At 44.2% G+C, this 22,060-nt stretch overlaps 1 protein-coding gene and 1 pseudogene across 5 annotated transcripts in view, besides 2 other annotated features; both read right to left on the reverse strand.

Annotated features, from left to right (window-relative positions):
* Positions 1 to 1,065: 1,065 nt before the first annotated feature.
* The window catches only part of JAML (junction adhesion molecule like), a 31,287-nt gene continuing 10,292 nt past the window's right edge, over positions 1,066 to 22,060 (reverse strand). For 2 of the 5 annotated variants that reach the window (NM_001286570.2, NM_001098526.2), the window contains 8 exons: positions 19,748 to 19,902; positions 17,828 to 18,053; positions 13,223 to 13,332; positions 10,769 to 11,006; positions 7,815 to 7,953; positions 5,339 to 5,432; positions 4,076 to 4,162; positions 1,066 to 1,758 (listed from right to left, as the gene is read on the reverse strand). In NM_001286570.2, coding sequence (NP_001273499.1) covers positions 1,666 to 1,758; positions 4,076 to 4,162; positions 5,339 to 5,432; positions 7,815 to 7,953; positions 10,769 to 11,006; positions 13,223 to 13,332; positions 17,828 to 18,053; positions 19,748 to 19,828 — 1,068 coding nt within the window. In that variant the 5' untranslated portion in view covers positions 19,829 to 19,902 and the 3' untranslated portion in view covers positions 1,066 to 1,665. Of the gene's footprint in view, positions 1,759 to 4,075; positions 4,163 to 5,308; positions 5,433 to 7,814; positions 7,954 to 10,768; positions 11,007 to 13,222; positions 13,333 to 17,827; positions 18,054 to 19,747; positions 19,903 to 20,245; positions 20,288 to 22,060 lie in introns of those variants that run through there. The other 3 variants (NR_104479.2, NM_001286571.2, NM_153206.3) reach the window with 3 other exon arrangements.
* Positions 1,605 to 1,794: an enhancer, noted in NCBI's record as "active region_5584". NCBI's record gives its function as "activates an Ori minimal core promoter by ATAC-STARR-seq in GM12878 lymphoblastoid cells {active_cell/tissue: GM12878}" and the evidence as "EXISTENCE:reporter gene assay evidence [ECO:0000049][PMID:35858748]".
* Positions 16,077 to 16,568, reverse strand: HSPE1P18 (heat shock protein family E (Hsp10) member 1 pseudogene 18; annotated as a pseudogene).
* Positions 19,615 to 19,909: a silencer, noted in NCBI's record as "tiled region #10108; K562 Repressive non-DNase unmatched - State 20:ReprD". NCBI's record gives its function as "represses a minimal TATA promoter and a strong SV40 promoter by Sharpr-MPRA in K562 cells {active_cell/tissue: K562}" and the evidence as "EXISTENCE:reporter gene assay evidence [ECO:0000049][PMID:27701403]".

Here is a 22,060-nt window from a genome sequence, read left to right on the forward strand (position 1 = left end):
TTTTTTGTATTTTTTTTAGTAGAGATGGGGTTTCACCATAGTCTCGATCTCCTGACCTTGTGATCTGCCTGCCTTGGCCTCCCAAAGTGCTGGGATTACAGGCGAGAGCCACCGCACCCAGCCCATCTTAAATTATACTCCCATAATTCCCACATATTGTGGGAGGGGCCTAGTGGGAGATAATTTGAATCATTGAGGTGGTTTCCCCCATACTGTTCTCATGGTAGTGAATAAGTCTCATGAGATTTGATGGTTTTATCAGGGGTTTCTACTTTTGCATCTTCCTCATTTTCTCTTGCCACCGCCGTATAAGAAGTGCCTTTCACTTCCCGCCATGATTCTGAGACCTCTGCAGCCATGTGGAACTGTAAGTCCAATTAAACCTCTTTTTCTTCCCAGTCTCGGGTATGTCTTTATCAGGAGCATGAAAACAAACTAAATACAGGCAGTATGGTCATTTTCACAATATTGATTCTACCCATGCGTGAGCATGGGATGTGTTTCCATTTGTGCTGTCTATGATTCCTTTCAGCAGTATTTTGTAGTTTTCATTGTAGAGGTCTTTCACCTCCTTGGTTAAGTATATTCCTAAGTATTTTAATTTTTTTTGCAGCTATTATAAAAGAGATTAAGTTATTGATTTGATTCTCAGCTTGGTTGCTATTGGTGTACAGCAAAGCTACTGATTTGTATACATTAATTATGTATCCTGAAACTTTGCTGAATTCATTTACCAGTTCTAGGAGCTTTTTGGATGAGTCTTTAGGGTTTTCAAGGTTTATGATTATGTCATCAGCAAACAGAGACAGTTTGACTTCCTCATTACCAATTTGGATGCCCCCCGCCAAAGGATTTTTAAGACTAACCTTATCAAATCTTACAATAGCAACTAAAAGTATAGGAACCGCACATTTCAGACCAAGAATTAAATCAGTGGCTGTCCACTGTGGCAACCCATGAGTATCAGGAAAGACAAATGCCTAAACTTCACCCAGAAATTTCAAATTAGGAGGCATGTGGTGAGGCCCCGCAAGGAGCCACCAGCAGGAATGAAGAACCACTGAGTTAAATCCCAAAACTGTATTCATACCCTACTTCCAACCCATTCACCCCAAACCTTTCCCAGGACCAAAACCAGCCTCTAGTGTGTTAGCACGGTTTGGCTTTCCTCCAGGAACTTCAGTTTTTCCAAAAGTTTCTAACTGTAAATTCCTCACCAGGACTTTACTTGCCCCCTCAACCGAGGCATAAAAATAGGACGATTTCCACAAACAACACTTATTTAGAAATAATGTGCCAGAGGAATGATTTGGGTTGGTTTTTATCTCTGATTCTTCCCAGTAACTCATCCACTAAGAACCCTGCCCACAGGAGGGTCTGATCCAACGGGGGGTTTGAGGCCACTCAGCTCAGCCTGGTTCCCAGGGCCAGTGTCCCACTCCAGAGGCCAAGTCCATGCTCCCCTCCCCTCAGCAGGCCTGTTCCTCCAGAGCTGTCCAGTCTCTCTGCCAGGCTCCAAATTCTCCATCTTCAGTGTATTGACCAAACAATGAGACAGGAGGACAGCTGGGAGAGCGGGAGTCTGAAATCACTGGTAGAGTGGCCCAGGACACACACAGGAGAGAGTCTCCACCGCTGCTGAGATGAAGGGACTCTCCATTCTTCTCAAAAGGCTTGCTGTGTTTTTGGCATTCCCCCACCTGACTTTTTTTCAAGTGAGTTGTTCCGATCTGACCTCAGAGAAGGCCAAACTGGGTGCTGTGGGGGAAGGGCAGAAAGAAACAAAACATGCTTGTAAGAAGTAGTTCCATAATCATAGCAGCTGCTGTTCATTGAGCTCTTCTCATGAGCCCGGCCCAGTACTGAATTTCATATGCATTATCTCATGTGATCCTTACCACCAGGAGGTAGGTATTATTATTGCCTTTCTAAGGATAAGGAAACTGAGGCTCAGACAGGCCAAGTTACTGCCCAAGACCATCTGGCTGCAACACAGAGTTAGAATTTGGACCCAGGTCTGTCTAACTCCACAGCTTGTGATCTTAACCTCTGTGTGTACAGCCTCAGAAAGGGAAAACAGCAAGGTGCCACTACATTTACATGAATTTCATCAATTCAACAACAAAAAACAAAGGCTCTTTGTTACCCCTGCTCCCTATCAGAGAACACCTTTATAAATGCAGTCTCAAACAAGTGGCCTGCAGTCCCAAATTCACCAACAGCCTTATTTAACTTGGCACATCATATTTTAAAATAACTTGACTGGCCCCTGCCAGCCTTTGAGTTTGCAGCCCAGGCCTCTTCTCTTACTCTATTGGATCTAGATCAAGAGGACAGGAATGGTGTTTTCAACAGAATCAAAACCATAATCGCCTAGCATTAAACCTGGGGAAGTTAGCTGTGAAGACAATTGTTCCTCCTGCATCATCTCCACCTCGGAGACGTTCTGCAAACAGTGCCACCCTGGCTGGTGACCCACTCAGCAGTAGCCACAAGGCAGCTGTATCAGCAGGTCTCCAGGAGCCAGGATGAGGCCTCGCAAGTTACTGCAGCATCACATAACAGTATGGGAGAAAGATACAGAGGGAAAATGATTCCATTCAGCTGCAACTTCAGGGTGGAGTTAATGTTTCACTCGGTGGATCCAGGCCAGGCCTCTGATCTCACACTTCCCTGGCAGACCTCTCTCTGCTGCAATCAGCTGGGAGTCATGTGTCCTCAGGGCTGGTACGATAGGAACAAACAAAGCCCATCATTCCACAAGCAGAGGAGGCCAGCCTTCCCAAACCCACAGAACACTGCTCCTTAATAGGCTGGGTGCCTATAATTAGTCTACAAATAGCACCGTGCTCATCGCCAGCTCACTCCTTTTGTCCCTACCCCCACTCACTGCACGCCCCGAGGTGCCTTTTCCAGGCACTGCAGTTCTCTAAGGGGCTACAGAAGTCTAAGCAAAGGGAAATTAGGAATCAGACTCCAAAATATTGTATGAGATCCAGCATGCAGCCTGCCTGGCAGTTAGGTTATGAGAAGGTATAATAAGTCACAAAGTTAAGAAACAAAATCTAAGCATTGGAAGGAACCCTACTTTGACCTTTTGATAGCAAGGAAAACGACTCACAGCAACACAATACTTGCCCAAGGATCTTATCCTATTTATCCTATTTTCTTTGTTGTTGTTGTTGTTTTGAGACAGGAGTCTCGCTCTGTTTCCCAGGCTGGAGTGCAGTGGCGCGATCTTAGCTCACTGCAACCTCCACCTCCCAGGTTCAAGCAATTCTCCTGCCTCAGCCTCCCAAGTAGCTGGGATTACAGGTGCCCGCCACCATGCCTGGCTAATTTTTTTGTATTTTTAGTAAGACAGTGTTTCACCATGTTGGCCAGGCTGGTCTCAAACTCCTGACCTCAAGTGATCCACCTGCCTCAGCCTCCCAAAGTGCTAGGTTTACAGGTGTGAGCCACCATGCTCGGCCTTTTTTTTTTTTTTTGAAACAGAGTCTTACTCTGTCTCCCAGGCTGGAGTGTAGTGGTGGATCTCGGCTCATGTAACCAACGCCTTCCAGGTCCAAGCAATTCTCGTGCCTCAGCCTCCCAAGTAGCTGGGATTATAGGCACGCATCTCCACACCTGGCCAATTTTTGTATTTTTAGTAGAGAGGGAGTTTTGCCACATTGGCCAGGCTGGTCTTGAACTCCTGGCCTCAAGCAATCCGCCCACCTCGGCCTCCCAAAGTGCTGGGATTTCAGGCATGAGCCACCACACCCGGCCGTGTTTTCTTTATTAGATTGAACTGATGAGGCAAAAGACGTCCTCCCTGCCCTCAGTAAAAGCCACTCTTCACTTCTTTTCACCACTAATATAAATAATCTCTGGTGATAACCTTTAATCCTTGAGCTTGGGTAAGAAAGTTTGATATCACTCTTCTATCCAGCAGAACTTCAGTTTCTCAGACTTTTCTGCTACTTAGAAAAATCACCGCCCTCAGCAGCCTCCCTTGGGCAACCCAGCCACGCCCACCACCACCACCACCTGAGCCTCTGACACCTGGCTCAGCTGAGGCCAGAATCATTCTCACCATGGTCATGTAGGTGGCCTCTGATTTTTCACTTGGTTCTTCTTCCTCGATCACCTCCCGTACAATTATTGGGGAGTAAATGTGTTTCTAGAGGGGGAAAATGGTACAAAAATTCCTAAAAATTAGATGAATCTTATACACCAGAGAAAAGGCCACCCACTCCTATTTGCTAGGCATCGACCACCCAAACTGCTGGTTCAGAGGGTTACTGAGACCTAGAGAATTCTCAACAATGATAATTCAGTCTTCAGTCTTCTTGAAAATTAACTGTCAAAGAACACAGTCTTAAGAACCAAACTCTTTGCTTCAAAAGCCAAACATCTTTGTTTAGATGGATGTTTAGGTAGCAGCAGGGGTTCCTTATCTTGCTAAATTCCTTGTATTCTGGGGTTATTTCCTTCTAATTACAGTAAAGGCAGAATGGCATTAATCAGCAGTGAATTGTCATCATCTCCCTCAGAGGATTTATGTGGCAGGGCCAGCCCTCATTGAACCTCACAACTGTGAGGTTCATGGTCCTGTCACTCGTTGGTAAAGCAGTATCATCCAGTGGCCCATTCTTGGACCACTGCACTCTACTGGGAAAAAATCCTACTCTTGGGACAAAAACAGCCCAAAATAGAGAAAGGTAACTATTCAAAGAGTTTTTTTAAAATTAAAGAAAGAAAAGAAAGAATAGGAGTTAAAGAAAACCAATCAATTTCTCAGTCTCTAGAAGCAATTATTTATAACTCCATTACAAAATCAATATGGAGAGAAAAGTCCTTCTTAATCCTTTCTTGCTAAGATCTTAGACTATTTCATTTTAAGCATTAGAACTCCTTAACTCCTGGATGTATTATAATTCTCCATTAGACTTTAGACAAATAGCACCTCCTAGATTACAAAGCATTTGCATATCATCATCTTATGTGAACCTTACAACAACCCTGTCAAGCAGGCTGGGCAACTATAGTATCTTTATCTTTATCCTCATTTTGCTGATGAGACTCAGGGAGGTGGCAGATCTTACTGACTCCAAGCGCAGTGCTCTTTCCTCAGCCCAATACCAGGATCTGCTGCCTGGGGCTGTCCCAGCCGACCCCATGCACTGTACTCCGCAGAGGCTCTTACTTTAGTGACAAAGGCTTCCTGAGTCCCTGCTCTGTGCCAAGCACTGGCCTGCAAGCTGCGACATACAATGGGTAAGATATGGTTCCCGGGGGTATGAGAACGGCCCAGGCCTGCATCTACTTAGTGTTTTAGGCTGAAGCGTGTGTTCACCTCCCCTTCACATCTTTCAAAATGGCAGGGTTTTTCTTTTATCTCTGGATTAGTCTTCTTCGTGTTCTTCACCAAGACTGTAGAATTCACTGAACTGCAAGACATGAAAAGCATGTGGAATTAACCAGCGGGCATGGTTTATTCAAGGGTCCCTACATGAGATCCCCTCTTGGCTTCGTGAAGAGAGAGACACCAGAGAAGGAACTATTCTCTCTGGACTCCTACAGCCAGGGCTACCCGGCTCACCTGGAAACCTGAGAAGCGCATCTCTTCTAATGAAGAACAAGAAGCCGTTCTGGAGATAATTTAGGCTGAAAAGCAGCTTCAACTTCTCTATTATCACTCAAGCCACTTTCAGTCCGTATGGGAGAGGTAATTTTAAGTGAATGAAGAGAGAGAGGGGAGATGGGATTCCATTTGACCATCCTGTCTACATTTCTGAGGACCAGGGAGTGCCGCGAAACCAGCAGGGGGCAGCAGGAGCTCAGCAAGACGCCAATCCGAAGGGCTCCTGGCCTTTCCGGGGGGCGGAGCAGAATAACCCCCACAAACACCCGACCCAAGCCCCAAGCAGGAGCTCTGCGCCTGCCCTGTCGGGGTCCCTTGGCCTTTGATCTCATGACCATTTGCCTTCTGAACATACTTTCTTTTTTTCTATTTTGGCCTAAGTCAGAACTAAAAAAAAAAAAAAAAAATTCAAGGTTTAAGCTAGAAAAGAAACCATATGTTTTGGTCTCAGTGGAAATATTTTCCTTGTATTTTCTGCTTTTAAAGTTGTATCTTCTCACTGTCAAATAATTCAGATAATACAGAAATGTAGACAGTTGGAAGTGGAAGTTCCCTGCAACCCGTCACCCCATGGGATCCACCTTCTCCTTCACTTCAAATTCCACACAATTACCCACATTTTACAACTGTCCTTCCAAGCCTCTCTCAGTGTAAGCATAAGCTCACATAAAATGTATTTAGTACATATGCTGCTGGAGTGAGCATCATATTATTTTCTCTTTTATAAAAATGAGGTCATACCATAAATTCTGTATTTTTACTCCTTGGATATCTTTCCATGTCATTATGTAGAGGGATCTGGAGTGTTTCATTGACTGGTTCACTGAATCGTTGCCTTTCTGACAGACACTGGCAATTATCCCTATTTTTAATTATAAGCAAGACGGCAGTTTTGCACAAATCTCAGCATATCCATTTAATTATTTCTTTAGAATAAACGACTAGACATGGAAGTGCTACCTTTCCTTTGGCGGGAAACTGAGGTCCCGACAGGGGAAGTAAGCTGAGAGTGGAATCCAGGTTGTCTAGCTCAGTGCTCCGAGCATGCCCAGAGCAAAGACCTTTAGAGAGGCCAGCCAAGTTCAAAACCAAATCAGGAAGCCCTAGGGAGTGCAAGTGAAAACTTAGCAGGCACAAGTGTTTTCTGCAGGATCCAAGACCCACTGGGAAAGAACACTCAAAAGTCAGGACTATTCATGAGGCCCTTTCCCACTGACACTATTTCAACAAGGGAGTCGATCTGCACTACAAGCATACTCCATCGATAGTTGGATAAACTGAGGGACATGGATCTGCCAACAGCCAGTGAAACACAAGTGTCCCTGTTGGAGCATCTGGGCACTTCTGAGACCCTGGGAGAACTACCGATGAAATTCAGGCCTTTAAAAGCACATTATTATTATTATTATTTTTTTTTTTTTTTTTTTTTGAGACAGAGTCTCGCTCTGTCACCCAGGCTGGAGTGCAGTGGCGTGATCTCGGCTCACTGCAAGCTCCACCTCCCAGGTTCACGCCATTCTCCTGCCTCAGCCTCCCAAGTAGCTGGGAGTACAAGCACATGCCACCACGTCCAGCTAATTTTTTGCATTTTTAGTAAAGACAGCTTTTCACCGTGTTAGCAAGGATGGTCTCGATCTCCTGACCTCGTGATCCGCCCGCCTTGGCCTCTCAAAGTGCTGGGATTACAGGCATGAGACACTGCGCCTGGCCAAAAGCATCTTTTAATAATAATTCATTTAGAACCTGAGGGCACCCATTCAAAGATCGTATCTCATAATTAGAATGTGGTCTTTTAGATAAAACCACTGGCAACCCTTAAGATCTTAGCTTCTATGCGGAACGTACAGTATGGATAATTTAAAAATCATCTTTTAGGCAGTGAATGGTACCATGATAGTTCTTGTGTAAGATTTATGCTCTGAATTATGCCCTACTGAGGCCCCCATTTCTAAGGGAGTTTGTAGTCTTTACATAATAACAAAGTGAATGAGGAGAGCGTAGGAATATTAAATTCTTTTCCCGGGCACAGTAAGCAAAGTGGGCAGGGTTACCACAGATGATTCCATTTAAAAATACCCCCTTCTGTGAGAATGGCATAAGTAGGGCCCTATCACCCTGTTCTACTTTGGGGTAGAGGCAGCCTTGCACCCCCAGCCTCCCAATCCAAGGGGTGGGGGTAGCCCTGTACCTCTTATTTCCACAGGTCTTCTTCACGATCAATATCAGAACAGGGAGCAGCAGGATTGTGGCACAGACAATTCCCACAATGATCACCAACTGATTACCACCCAAGACCAGAGGCCTCAGGGCTGCCGGGGTCACCAGTGCTTGGGAAAGTAGAAAAGCAAGGAGAGGGTCTCAATACTTTAGCAAAGAGCTGAGAGCCCCACAGCCCTATACCAAGTAGCACCAGCCAGGCCACGAAGCGGAGGGGAAGGCCAGACTCCACCCCATATCTGGACACTAGGGACACTGTCTCCATGAGATTGAGAACCAAAGTCTAACCCCCTCGTTTACCCTAAAATGTAGATTAAGGTGGGTGGGAGAAGAGGCTAGCAGTTCACCTCTAGTAAAGTTTCCTTTCACATCAACAATTCTATTCTAAAATTTGGCTTAACAAGGACCCAGAAATAACAGGCATTTGAGAGGCTGCTGATCTTCCTTAGGGCAAGTGGTTGTCTTCAAAAGAACTCATGCCGCAAGACTCAGCCCCACAGTGACGATACCAAGTAAAGCCTCCGGAGGTACTTCTGCCCATATGGAACCTTCTACTCATCTGCATGGTTCTTTCTAAATACATAAAGCAAACACCTCCTCAGGGCCAGACAGCACTAGGTACAGGGGATTCAGAGATGAATGATGATGTGTGGTCCCTGCTTCCAAGGAAGAAGACAAACACGTCAACAGAAAACCACAGGCTGCTGTAGGCGCTACAACAGAAGTCTGTATGGGGAACAGAGGGGCACAGAAAAAAGGGTGTCCAATTCTATATGCAGCAAGTGAGAATTTGCCAGCAAAAGTTCTAAAGTTTAACCTAAGACTTACAGGAAACATCCAGTTTGTTGGGAAGACAATATGGAGAAGGACAGAGGGGATGTTCTGCATGAGATCTGGAGGCCTGACAGGATGATGATTTTAGAAACTAGAAAGAGTTCAACGGGTCTGGCACAAAAGTGGCATTTGTGGGTGTGCTGGAGAATTTCGCTGGAGAGATGACAGGGTCCAAGTCAGGAAGGACCTTGACTATCTCAACCAAGAATCTGGCATTTTTCTGCAGGCAATGAAAACAACATTGAAAGATTATTAGCAGTGGAAGAGAAAGTTCTTAATGTGATTTAGAAAGATGGCACCAAGAGCCGCGTGAAGAATGAGGAGCAGTGGCTGAGAGAGAAAGCAGAGACTGGTTAGAGGCCTACAGTTCAAGACAGAGATGAAGACAGCCAGAACTAAGGCGGCAGTGACAGACTGGAAGGAAGACAACTTCAAGAGTCTGTAGTAGGAGTCAAGGACTTGTTGACCTGACCTGTTAGATTAGGGGTCTAGGAAAGGGAAAGAATCAAGCACACCCCCAGGCATCTAGTTAGACAACTGAGGTTGGGGAGATGGGCTGAGGAGGGGTGTGCAGGGGTAGGTTAGACATGTTGCATATGAAGGATTTGTGGAAAACTTGTGTAGAGTTGACTAAGTATATCCATGGGTGTGTGTGGAACTGTGTCCAACATAGAGTGCATATAAATGCTACTGAAGGAGAGAAGGCTGAGGATGGATAATTGCAGTGCCATTGGTGATCTAAGCTGGAGTAGAGGTAGAATAAGCCAGAATGCAGTGCACTGAGGAGTTAATGGGAGATGAGACAGTAAGATACCAAACACAGACCTTTAGCAAGCTATTTGGCTATGTTGAGAAAGAAACACGTGATTGTGGTGGTGGTTGTTCAACTCTGAATGTACTAAAACCATTGAGCTGAACGCTTTAAATGGGCAAATTGTATGGTATGTGAATTGTATCTCAGGAAAACAATCTTAAGAAAAAGAAAGACACAGAATGGAGCTGAAGAAAAAAAGACATAGAATGGAGCTGGAGTAATTAAGTAGTAGAATTGAGCAAACGTATCCATTGAATGGTAGAAACCAACAGAAAGTGAGCTCAAAGAGCCATGTTGTAAGGTTCCTGAGAAGGATACCACCTGGGCACAGGGGGCCAGATAAGCCCAGAGCAGAAGGGACCTTCCTCTGCCTCAGGATGGCAGGGCAGAGATAAGAATGGGGGAGACATAGATATGTTTGTGGGTGGAGAAGCTGCATGAGCCCCCATAATGGCTCGATTTTCTCTGTGAATTGGACTTCTGAGAAGGAAGCACACAGACCTGCCGTGCTCCCCTCTCCAGCTGGAGACAAGGTGCCTCCACAGACTTAGGTCTCTGGCCTGAGGTATGAGGTATGTTCCATCCTCACCCCATCTTCCCCACCCCCAGCCAACCACAGCCAACTCCTGAAGGCCCTAGCGACAGGCAAAGTCCACAGGCCACATCCTGATTGCTAACTGGGTTATGGTTTAACTTTAACCCCTCACTTATCAACCTCTCTCTGTCAACACAATCAAGTCTTTCCTCTCCTACACAGCACTGGCCTTGATGCACACTGTTTGCCAGAATCCAGAACCTCTGATCAGAAAACCCTCCATTTTTGGTTCTGGTGCCTGCATGTTCCTCTCTGTTCCTGGCTGTCTCTCACTAGCTTAGGATCATTTCCCGCTCCACTCTAACACATACAGCACCTCCCTTGAAACCAAGTATGCTGACTTTGGACATCAACTCCGATCCTTCCCTGAGCTTCTGTATCTTTACATCAGTAGATGACCCTGGCAATGAGTGGGGTCTGGCAGAGGATTGGTATTCACTAAATTAGCTCCCCTCCCCTTGGCCTAGCAGCAGGGCCAGAACTAGGGTGAGGCAAGCCAGGCACCTGAGGAGCCACCTCTAAGGAGGCATCATTCTCAGGGTTGTGCAAGGCCAGAGTCAGCACCTGAGAGGGATGCCTCCTTCAATTTTGCATCCTAGGAACCTCTCCGGCCTCACTCTAGTCCTGGCGCCATGCACCAGCCAGGAGGTCCCTCAATGCTCCCCAGCCAAATGTTAGATACTTCGAGGCTCTTCCGGGCTGACATGCAGCACAATGGTTTTCTTGAACACCAGGTTCCCTAGGTGGATACTGCAGGTGTAGTTTCCTCCATCTGACTCCCTCACTCCTTGAAGCATGATGGAACCGTCATTGCGGAAAATGTCCCCCACCAGGTTCACACGATTCTGGAAGTGGCCCCAGCTCTGGGAGTACTCCACAGACATCCTGAGTTTGTGGTAGTAACGAAATACAATCTCCTCCTAGAAGTGAAAGACAAAAAGTATGATATTGTGAGGACTGGAGTGGAGCGGGGAGCAGAGAAAATGGGGGAGGGAAGATCTCAGGACTCCAAGGCCCTGCTAGGTGAAGGCAGTAAGGGTATTATCAGAAAGCATTAAATAACACAAAGTCATGTACACACACATGTGCATGCGTGTGTACTTGTGAAGGACATCACAAAACCATGAACAGTTTTTCCATCTGAATGGAGGGATAAGAAAAGGAGGACTTTCATTTTGTGCACCTTTCCAATAAAAAAAAAGCAAAAGTATACTTTTATTCTTGATGACATTTCTAGTTGGATTTCCAATAGGAACCTGAAACATGTCTAAAACTGAACTCTTCATCTTTCCCCCAAACCAGTTCTTTCCAGTCCATCCCATTTTGGTACATGGCAATGCTTTCCTCCAGATACTCAGGCTAAAAATCCTGGAGTCATCCTTAATTTCTGTCTTTCTGGAACAAATCACATTGAATCCCTCAGCAAATCCTATCACCTCTACCTTCAAAATATATCCCCAATCCAGCCAGTCCTCACCTCCTCCACTGATACCATTCTGGTCCAGCTCATCTCTCACCTAGATTCCTGCAACAGCTTTCTTACTTGTCTCCCTGCTTATTCTCTATGACAATCTATTTTCAGCAGATGAGCCTTTAAAAATGTAAGTTAAATCATGTTACTCCTGTGCTCAAAACCCTTCATGGCCCCCACTCCCATTTCTACTAAAATGCAAGGCCCTGCATGACCCAGCCCATCTCCCTTTACCTCTGACTTCAACTTCTACTTGCTCTTCCCTCACCTACTTGGGTCACTGCGCTCCAGCCACATGGACCTCTTGGCTGCTCCTTGCATACTGGCTGCAAGGCCTTTGCACTTGCTACTGTCTATGACTGCAAGAACACTCTTCCCCCTACACATATGCAGGGTTCACTCCCTCTCCTCAAATGTCATCTCAGTGAGGGCTCCCCAAGCACCCACATAACAAAAACCACAAAGTCCTGCTTTATTGTTCCCCGTAGGCTCTTACTATTGCCTGATGTATTATATACGTCTTTATTATTTTACATGTATCTCCTCCATCTTGGTTGTAAGTTTCCCATCAGGACTGGGGCTTTAAGTATTCTTCATATAGCAGATTCTTTAAAAATAACTTGTTAAATGAATATTGGCATTAAAAAAAGCCATGTAGATTGCTTTTTTAAAGCTTTTAAGAAAAGTTAATGGGTGTGTAGACACAAACATGAATGAAGTGACCTGGCCCCTAACATTTTGTCTCTCGTGATTCAAATTCACAACCTCAAAATGTCAATTCTCATCCTATTTTCTCCTGTGAATCACTCAATGGATGACATTTAAATGTATGGCAAGCTCTCAGAGGTGAACCTGGGACCAGATGTAATTCCCCATACTCCATCATGATGTCACCCACTGTGACCCACTCAGATAGCATAGAGGAATCAAGTGCAAATGACTTTGTTAGAGAGATGACCTGGAATATGTTTTAATTTATAAAAGTTAGTCTTTACTAAATTTTGCAACTTAACTTTTATTAATAACAAGTTACTTGGGATATCCCCACAACACATGTTGACCCATAAATATACGACCACATCATGGTTGAGAGCTACTGGTCTAAAGAATAAACTTGCTTCTTCCTGCTTTATAGAGTTCCCGTAAAATACCCTTCACCCTGGCCCCCAGGATCAATCAATCCCAACACGTGAAGTACCCATGAAAATTCCCTCCATCACATAAATGGGGCAATGGGGCACAGATGAAAACTCACAGAACTAACCCCAGTAAGAATAAAAGTGTAATCACTTTAATGTCTAGCCCATTGCTTTCTTGGCTGGGCCACAAAAATCATCTCCCTCATTCTCCCATGGACTCTATACGAAGGAAAAGGGAGAAAGAAGGAAACTAAAATGCAGGGGCCAAGTCTTATACAAAATGCTTTACATGTACAATCTCATATCGGCATCCAAAAAGTTAAGCATCATCATCATCTTCTTGTTCTTGTTCTTCATTGGAGTTATCTTTCCCACCAGAAAGCTGAAATTGCTAGGAGAAGGTCCAGTTCTGATAAGCACCAAAGCCCAGGCTCTTGCAACACCTCCTCATGTGCCTGATTCTACCTTTGTCCTGATACCATCAGCCAGAGCCTTCTCTAACACAGTGATGTTTCCTCCTTGTTACCTTTGCGCGCCGTCCTGAAAATATCCATTCTACCTTGGTCACGTGTTTCACTTCTGTGCTCTGGAAAACACATCCCATCTGAATCAATCCACCCACATGGACCATGAGCTCTGAGGATAAAACAGTAAATCAAGTCAGACTCAAGTTATAATCTATAGAAGTCAAAGAATTTCTAGAAGAGATCATGTTTAGCCAAAGACCCTCAGCAGCAAAAATCGCTGTCACCACCAAACACTGTACGTATTCCCTCTGTACGAATTCCCTCTGTGGGTGATCCAGATGATTCCACGTGGGCAAAGTACTCAGAGCCTCCTCCCTCAGACCAGCACAGCATCATCCCCAAGATGAGAATACCCTCTAGCTGCCCACATGTACCAAGCCTGAGGGTTTCTGCTGTCTCCATATCACCATAAACACTTTCTGGTCCTCTTTAATTCCTTTCTCTTTCCCCTTTTCCAGAATTCCTCCCATGAACTCTAATTTCACATCAAGTTTGTACTAAAGGAAGTATGGAAAATCTCAAAGTCCCTACTTTATGTTCATCATCTTAGACACCAACATCTGCTTAGCATAAACAGGAAGTGGAAAGTTATAGAACTCTCATTCTTATATTTAACCCACTGACTCTCCCAACTAAAAAAATGAACCAGGGGTAACTTTCTTCAACTTCTTTTATTGTTTTTCTTTTATTCTAGGACCTAGTTCTGGCCTTGGTACAAGTCACAGGACTCCTTGCTAATTAGGCCAAGACAAAAGACAGCTTTCTCCTTGACTTTTCTTTCTGTTTTAATCCTGCTCTCTCCTGCCCCCACCCTCCCGACTTCCCCTGCTTCTGGCTTTCCACCTCCTAGGCTCTTCCTTCTGACTATTGTACAAGCAGCTGACCCACCATATGTTTATTACATAAGTCATTTTAAGTGGCCCATGAAAAAGAAAAGAAGTAGAAAGACATTTCTGATTTTTCAGTAATGCTCTGTACAAATCAACCACAAAGTTGATTAAGCAATGAAAGGCAGGGTGGTGTATAAGGAAGACACAAGTCTAGGTCTTAAGTGCACAGAGTTCCTTCCAAAGAGTGTTAAGCAAAGATCACAAGGGAACAGAGTGCATAAGCCACCCTTTCATCCAAATTATTTCCCTGGGAGAAGAGTAACTTCCTGCCCAGCAGGAGAAATGCACAATAGGAGGAAAGCAAAAGAAAATATTATGAACTCTAAAATCTATGGAAGGAATTATTTTGAAAGCGATAAAAAAGTTACTCCAAAGAATACCAGTAAGGAAGCAAACTCCCTTTAAATCTATCAGCACATTAAGAATTAAACTCTATTTTTAAAATGCAATAATAACAACTGAACATTCTGAGTCCTTTCAATGCACCACCATGTGCTAGACACCCTATACACAGTAGATTAGTTAGTCATTACAATATTTTGAGGTTTGTATGACTACTCTCCCATTTTACAGAGAAGGAAAGTAAAGGAACCCAATGCCACATGGCCAGGAAAGGTAAAGCCAACATTTAAGCCCAGGTCTGAGTGAAAGGAAAGCCCGAGTTTTCTCACTCACTCTACTGTGGCACCCCACATAAGTAGAAGGATGGCTGATTCTAGAGCAAAAGTAGAGGACATTAATCTAATTATTATTTTCATCTATAGTATTTAAATTAAGAACTATGAAAAAAAGAATTGAAGTGGTAGAATCATAGAGAGACTATCAACTGAAGGGTAAACTTTGTAGAGAAAATTATAGATGACTACAAAAAATGGAGTTGCCATGTTGGTGGAGGCAACTTACATAAAGCAAGTTGGAGCACGGTCCACTAGGCAAAATTGTTAGGGGTTGGATCTATTCCCATTCTAGCTGGAAGAAAAAAAAAATACAGCTTGCTCCACTAGCCACTGGGGGAATATCTGACTATCTCTAACATTGCCCTAGCCTGTTTCCATGGATTCCTCAGCTCTTGAAATTGACTCCTTGTGGTTCCCTCTGTGTCTCTTCTAAGCAGGAAAAGGCTATGCTTGCATGGACAAGTGTTCAGGCATGGCATTAGAGACCAAAGGCAGAAAAAGGAAGCAAAAAGAGAATCCTTTGTAATACCAGCAATTTGGAGAGGCTGAGACAGGAGGATCACTTGAGCCCAGGGGTTTGAGACCAGCCTGGGCAACGTAGGGAAACCCCATCTCTACTTAAACAAACAAACAAAGCCAGGCATGGTGATGCACACCTATGGACCTAGCTACTCGGGAAGTTGAGGCAGAAGGATCACTTGAGCCCAGGAGTTCAAGGCTACAGTGAGCCGTGATCATACCACTGCAACTCCAGAGCCTGGGTGACAGAGCAAGACCCCACCTAAAAAAAAAAGAGAGAGAGAGAGAGAATCCTTGGGCACAGGCATCTGATTTGCTTCTTCTTCCTGGAGAACAAGAGCTTTGGAATTAAGAGAAAAATGACAATGAAAAAAAAGTAGGATAATTAGGAGAGGGGCCAGAGGCCACCTACTACAACTCCATTTTTTAGAAATCAGATTCAAGCAAGGGATGCTAACTCAATAATTTCATTCATTCCACAAATGCTTATTAATTGCTTACTCTGTGCCAGGGGCTACGCCCAGGCAAGCAGGGAAGACACAAGTGAATAGGTGTGATGAGTGTCATAAGAGAGGAAGGCAGGGTGCACCAGAGGAGCTCATTAATAAAGCTGGGAGGCTAAGGACCTAAGCTAGCTGCAGGCGGGAAATGGCCCCAGATTCTAGTTCCCTAACTACATTGCAAGCTCTCCTGGGGTCACAGACTGTTCCTTCTATTCCACACTCTTAAAGAATGCATCTAGTTCTGTGGCTTGCAAACTTTTACTTTCATTTATGTATTTTTATTTGTAAGTTTTATATCAATAAGCAAAACTAAATTTTAGAGACACTGGCTAACGTTAGTTTGGATATCATTAGTTTATTATAAAAGAGAGACATGGAAATTATTTACACAATGAAAGATTTCAGAACTCCAGTGGAATCAGTGTCTTCACATGAGGCTTTTTCAATAGTGATTTATTTCGGTATATATACTTTCCAAGAATGCCACCATTTCTAAATAAGAAATTATCCCTGTCGTCCAGAACTACTTTGGTGCCTCCATATTCTAGATTCTGGGGGAAGAATTTTATCTCCAGCTTTTGGGCTAACTGGTTGAATCTCTCCACCCTTTCCTTTAGAGCCCAATACAACAGCTTCTACAGTTGCTTGCAATACTTTTGAGATTTTTCTGGAAGCATAATGCCTCCTTTGGTTACAGTCTCAGCTGCATTCCTTTCAACTAATACCCAGTCAAAGAGGCGAAAAAAACTTTCTAAATGACTCGGGCCACCACAGCTTATACTCTCCCTTTCAAACTGCTTGCAAGCAGCAGAATCCTTATTCAGACCAAATCTTACCTGGCAGCCCAATGAATACAACAGGAAAAAGGAAAAGGACTTTGGTTGCAATGCAGGTGGGAGCCTAGGGTCCTACCCCTGCCCCGCTCTTACCCTTCATGTTCTTTGGAGCTTAAGGTTCTACAGAGCACAAATTTTAAAACCACCCACTCCTTCCACTTATAAATGGAAAAATAAAGTGCAAAGAAGAGTTAGAAAGATCTGCTCCTTTCTTCTTTTTTCTATTTTAAGAGACAGGGTCTCAGCTCTGTCACCCAGGCTGGAGGGCAGTGGTGTGATCACAGCTCACTGCAACCTCCACCTCCTGGGCTCAAGTGATCCTCTCACCTCAGTCTCCCCAGTACCTGAGACCACCACAGTCATGTGCCATCATGCCCAGCTATTATTATTATTTTTTTTTTATTTTTTATTTTTTTTAGACATAGGGTCTCACCATGTTGCCCAAGCTAGTCTCAAACTGGCTTCAAGTGATCCTCCCACCTCGGGCTCCCAAAGTGCTAGGATTACAGGCATGAGCCATCACACCCAGACTTTTTCTTTTTTTTTCTTTTCTTTTCTTTTCTCTTTTTTTATTTTAGACAGAGTCTTGCTCTGTCACCCAGGCTAGAATGCAGTGGTGCCATCATAGCTCACTGCAGTCTTGAACCCTGGGGCTCAGGCAGTTCTGCTGCCTCAGCCTCCCAAAATGCTAGGATTACAGGCATGAGCCACTGAGCCTGGCCTGCTTATTTCTTTTCTATCCCCCAGATCACCTAACATAGGGTACCTATAAAATACAGATGTAGCATCAATGTGGATAACTGATGAAAGGTATTAGGGCATAGTAAAAAGAACATGGACTTTGTTGTCAGAGGTGCCAGGGTTCAAGTACTATTTATTCCATTTAATAAATATGTGTCCAAAACATATTTGGACATATATGTGAACAAAACATCCTTCACAGGGCTTTTGTGAGGGGGAAGTGTGTTTAAAGTAATAATACAATAATTATCAATATTTTATTTAATAAAATAACTCTATTTTTATTGACTGAAATAATTATGATCATTTTTTGAAGATTCACTCTGTGGTAAGTACTTAGCCCAAAGGCTGGCATTTACTCAAGATAATCAGTTTCCTTGCCTCTTGCACATGAAAGCTCTTGCCCCTTGGCCCCTCTTTAAGTAAGCATTTGCGTACCTTTGGGCTCCTCTGGAAGCACATGCAGTACCACCGCCTTCTTGAACACCTGGCTCTCCCCTTTGAGGCGGATTTCACAGATATAGGTTCCCTGGTCAGCCTCTTGCACATCTTGGAGCAGGAGAGAGCCATCATTGCATAAGATGTCCCCCATCAAGTGTACGCGGTTCTGGAAGCGCCCAATAGGCACACTGAGATTGGAGTAATAGTATAGCACATATTCGTCCTGAAGGGCAAAACAGTGTTGGAGACAATCAAAAGAGGTGCCAGACCGAGGAGCCTGGATCCCAAAGACTCTGTTATGTGGGGGCAGCAGAGCTATCATCATGATCATGATCCAAAAGCATTTGGTACCCAGTTAATAAAAATAATGTGCCAGGCAACAGTCTAACTTGCACAAGCTCTGCAACTCCCTTTCTACAAAGACAAATGGAGAAATGCAGTCCACATTTTATTTCTTACAGTTTAAGGTAAAATATAGCACCCACTCTGAAGATCACTCTACGGTTTTTAACTTACAACTTTTGAAAACCATCTCTCATTTTCACCCTATTTTCTGCCACAGCCCCGGATTAGATGGCATTCAAATGCATGATCTATTTTCACTAGTGCTGTGGGTGGTGTTGGCGTAAGAATTCCAGGCATGGCCGGCTGGCTGCCACTTTTCTCATTTCTACCCTCCTCCCGGCAGCAGTATCGTAACACAAAAGGAGTCATCCACAGGGAATGGTTCCAGGCTGGGCCCTGGGGAATTCTTTTGTTTTTGGTTTTGGTTTTGTATTGTTTTCTTCTGTCACCCGGGCTGGAGTGCAGTGGCACAATCACAGCTCACTGCAGCCTTAACCTCCTAGGCTCAGGTGATCCTCCCACCTCAGTCTCCCAAGTAGCTGGGACTACAGGTACATGCCACTGCAGCCAGCTAATTTTTGTGTTTGTTTTTTTATAGAGATGGGGTTTTGCCATGTTGCCCATGCTGGTCTCAAACTCTTGAGCTCAAGTGATCACCCCGCCTCAGCCTCCCAAAGTGCTGGGATTACAGGCATGAGTTACCACACCCAGCAGAAATTCTTATTTCTACTTACACTATGGGTTTATCCCTCGTATAAAAATAAAGGCCAATAAAAATTTGAATGAGAGTAGCATTATAGGGACAACAGGGAATGTGCTCTGAGCTACAAAAACAATATTTTGTTTGCAAACATTAGGACTTTATTGTTAGTAACAAACTACTTGGGATGTTTTTCACAAATGATCCTGATATACGAGTATCTATACAGACTGTCTGATGAGGCTTAATACACTGTTCCTCACTCCAAAGAGCTCCATGAAAGAACCTCGCCCACCATGCTGCATCTGCTAATCCCAACACTTTAAGCAGCCACAAAGGAGAAAATGATGATTCCCCAGCACATACATGGAGCAGTGAAACACTGAAAGAATCTGTCCTCCTCCCCACCCCAAAAAAGATCATTGTGGTATAGTTCTTATGCCTAGGTCAGAGCTCTCCTTTCTAGAACCTCGGAATTTACCCCTCTCACCTGCTTCTGCTACTTAACAAAGGGTAGAGATAAAGGAAGGAAACTCAAAGAATTTCATGTGCAAGAACAAGGAACCTCTCATTTCAAGTTTGTGTCTCCCATCAGCCCCTTAACTACTTGAAAGGTAAGCATTACCATTATTGTAATTGCCTTCCTCTTCACAGCTCAGGAAGCTAAGATCAGCAAGGTTGAGTAACTTACTTACCCAGCTGATAACATAACCAAATTCCTGAGCTAGGACGAGGCCCAGTTCTGATAATCTCCAAAGCCCCGGCTCTTGCAACACCTCCTGGTGGCACCTGATGCCTGACTCTTACACCACTCTGTCCTGACACCAGCAGTCAGGGGCTTCTATTACATAGTGATGTTTCCCCCGCGTTACCTTGGCGTGCTCTCCTGGTGACAGAGTCCAGTCTATCTTGAATATACATTTGTCTTCTGTGCTCTGGAAAACACATCCCATCAGAGCTGAATCACCCACATGGACTGTTAGCTCAGGCGGGGAAACATTCAAGTCATTCAGGCCCAAGGAATAATCTATAGAAGTCAAAGGCAAGAGGACACATCATTTAGACAAATACTCTCAACAACAAAAATCAATTCCAATCATGGAGTACTAAACACCCCTCTCCCTGGATGATCCAACATAGACAAAGTCCTCGGAGGCATGTTCAAAGGCAGCATGGCATCCCTGTCCTCTAGTTACCTATATGGCTCATCAGAAGGATTCTGCAATCTTCATACTACAATAAATGCTATCTGGCTCCCTCCTCCTATCCAGCCCCTTACACTTTTCTGGAATTCTTCCTCCCAACCTTTCTAAAGAAATAAGGGAAACCCCAGAAGTCTCTCCTTTCTGATCATCAATTTAGAAACTCACCTCCACTTACCATAACGACGAAATGGGTTGTTCCTTGCTCTTAAATCTCCCACTGGTTCCCTCTCTGAAAAGGGACCTTTTGTTTACTTCCTCTTTTCCCTTTCTTTTAGTTCCTTTACAAAAGCATTTGCTGGCTGATTCTGGCTGTAGGGCAGGTCCTTGTAATTAGGCCACCACAGAGCACAGCTTTCCTCCTGCATTTCCACTGTGTTTATCCTCTCCCTGCCTCACCCCTCCAGCTTTGCCATCAGCTTTCCAGCCTCTAGGTGCTTCACACAGGGACCCCTGCCCATTATCTCTATGTTGCTCAAGCAATTTCGAGCGGTCACTACAAGAAAAAACCATTACATGGATATTTCTGTTTTCACAAGATATGCTCTATGCAAAGAGACAACAAAATCAAGAAAGATACATTTAGATGCTGCCCAGTTCATATCAGAGAAGAGCCAAGTGATGGGAATGAACAGAAAATGTGCCAGTCTTTTCATCCAAGCTGTTTCCCTGAGAGAAGACAGTTAACTTCCTGCCCCAACAGTAGGCTCACACAGCAGGGAGGACACAAAAGAAAACATCGACTCTAAACCCTTCAGAGGGAATTATTTTGAAAGAAATCAAAATTAGCTCCAACAAATATTTGGAATTTTCCTGTAAGGAAGAATTGAGCAGCTCCATGTGTGATTGAAAGTGTAATAAGCGAATTTAATATTAAGAACACTGTGTGTAGAATTAAATGAAGGACTGCTAGGAAGCAACAACAGCAACCAAAGCAAAGAGAAACTGATGTTTGAAGGGCAATCTTGGTAGAGAAACAGCTGAAGAAGATGAGATTTTCTGCAAGAAAGGAAAACCTCTCCACAAAAAACTACAAAACCCCCAGTGCCACCAAGTCACCACATACAGGGGTTGGACTGGTAGCTCTCTGGATCGGAGGGCAAAAACCTGCAGGCTGCTCCACAGACCTCTAGGAAAATGTCTAAATACCTTCTGAGATCATTATAACCCTGCTTCTTTGAGAAAAATTATCTAATGAACACCATTTTGGTGTGCGTGCCTGTGTGCATGTTTGTACACACTCTGGATTGCCTGGAATAGGAGCAAAGGCAATCCTGTTGTATACTTTGCTGAGTCAGGGTTTAAATTACTGTCCAAAGTTCAAAAAATAATAATAAAGAGAAAAAGAAAAGGCTATGAGAGCAAAGCACCTGATTAATTTCTTCTCCTTCCAGAACTACATCCATGGGATAAAGAAAAAGGCATGGGGGAAAAGGATGAAAACCTAGAAACCAGTGGAGATGAGCAACGAGAAGCTCAGCACTTAGGTGGAGGCATAAACAGGAGACCAATCTGGTCTGAGGAGATGGCCAGGTCAGGCTCCTCAGAAGGAAGTGGAGCATAAGGGGAAACCTGAAGGGTAAGGAAGCATCGGGCGGGCTTGCTAGGTTGAAGTGCTGGGAGGAAGGTTCCAGGCAAAGGAAACCACCATAAATTGGGAAAGAGCTCAGTCCATTTGAGGAACCACAAGAAGGCTGACATGGCCACAGTATGAAAAACAGCTCTGGGTCTCTCTTTGGTAATTTCAGTTCCTGATTCAAGGCGAACTGTGGTTTTAAAGATAACAATTTAAAGTGCAGGAATGCCACAGAGAAACTTTCCCTTTGTCACGTAAGAGGGTCCCAGAACACCCTTTAGGACCCAAATGCATTCTGTTTCTAATGGAAACAGGAAGCTTCAGCTTCCCAAGAAACCATAAGCTAGTTGGCTTCAACAACAGCTGCTTCAACAAAACTGTGAAGTTCCACATTAGGGTTTCCATCT

The sequence above is a fragment of the Homo sapiens genome, chromosome 11 (assembly GCF_000001405.40).
Source record: "Homo sapiens chromosome 11, GRCh38.p14 Primary Assembly".
Classification (NCBI taxonomy): Eukaryota; Metazoa; Chordata; class Mammalia; order Primates; family Hominidae; genus Homo; species Homo sapiens.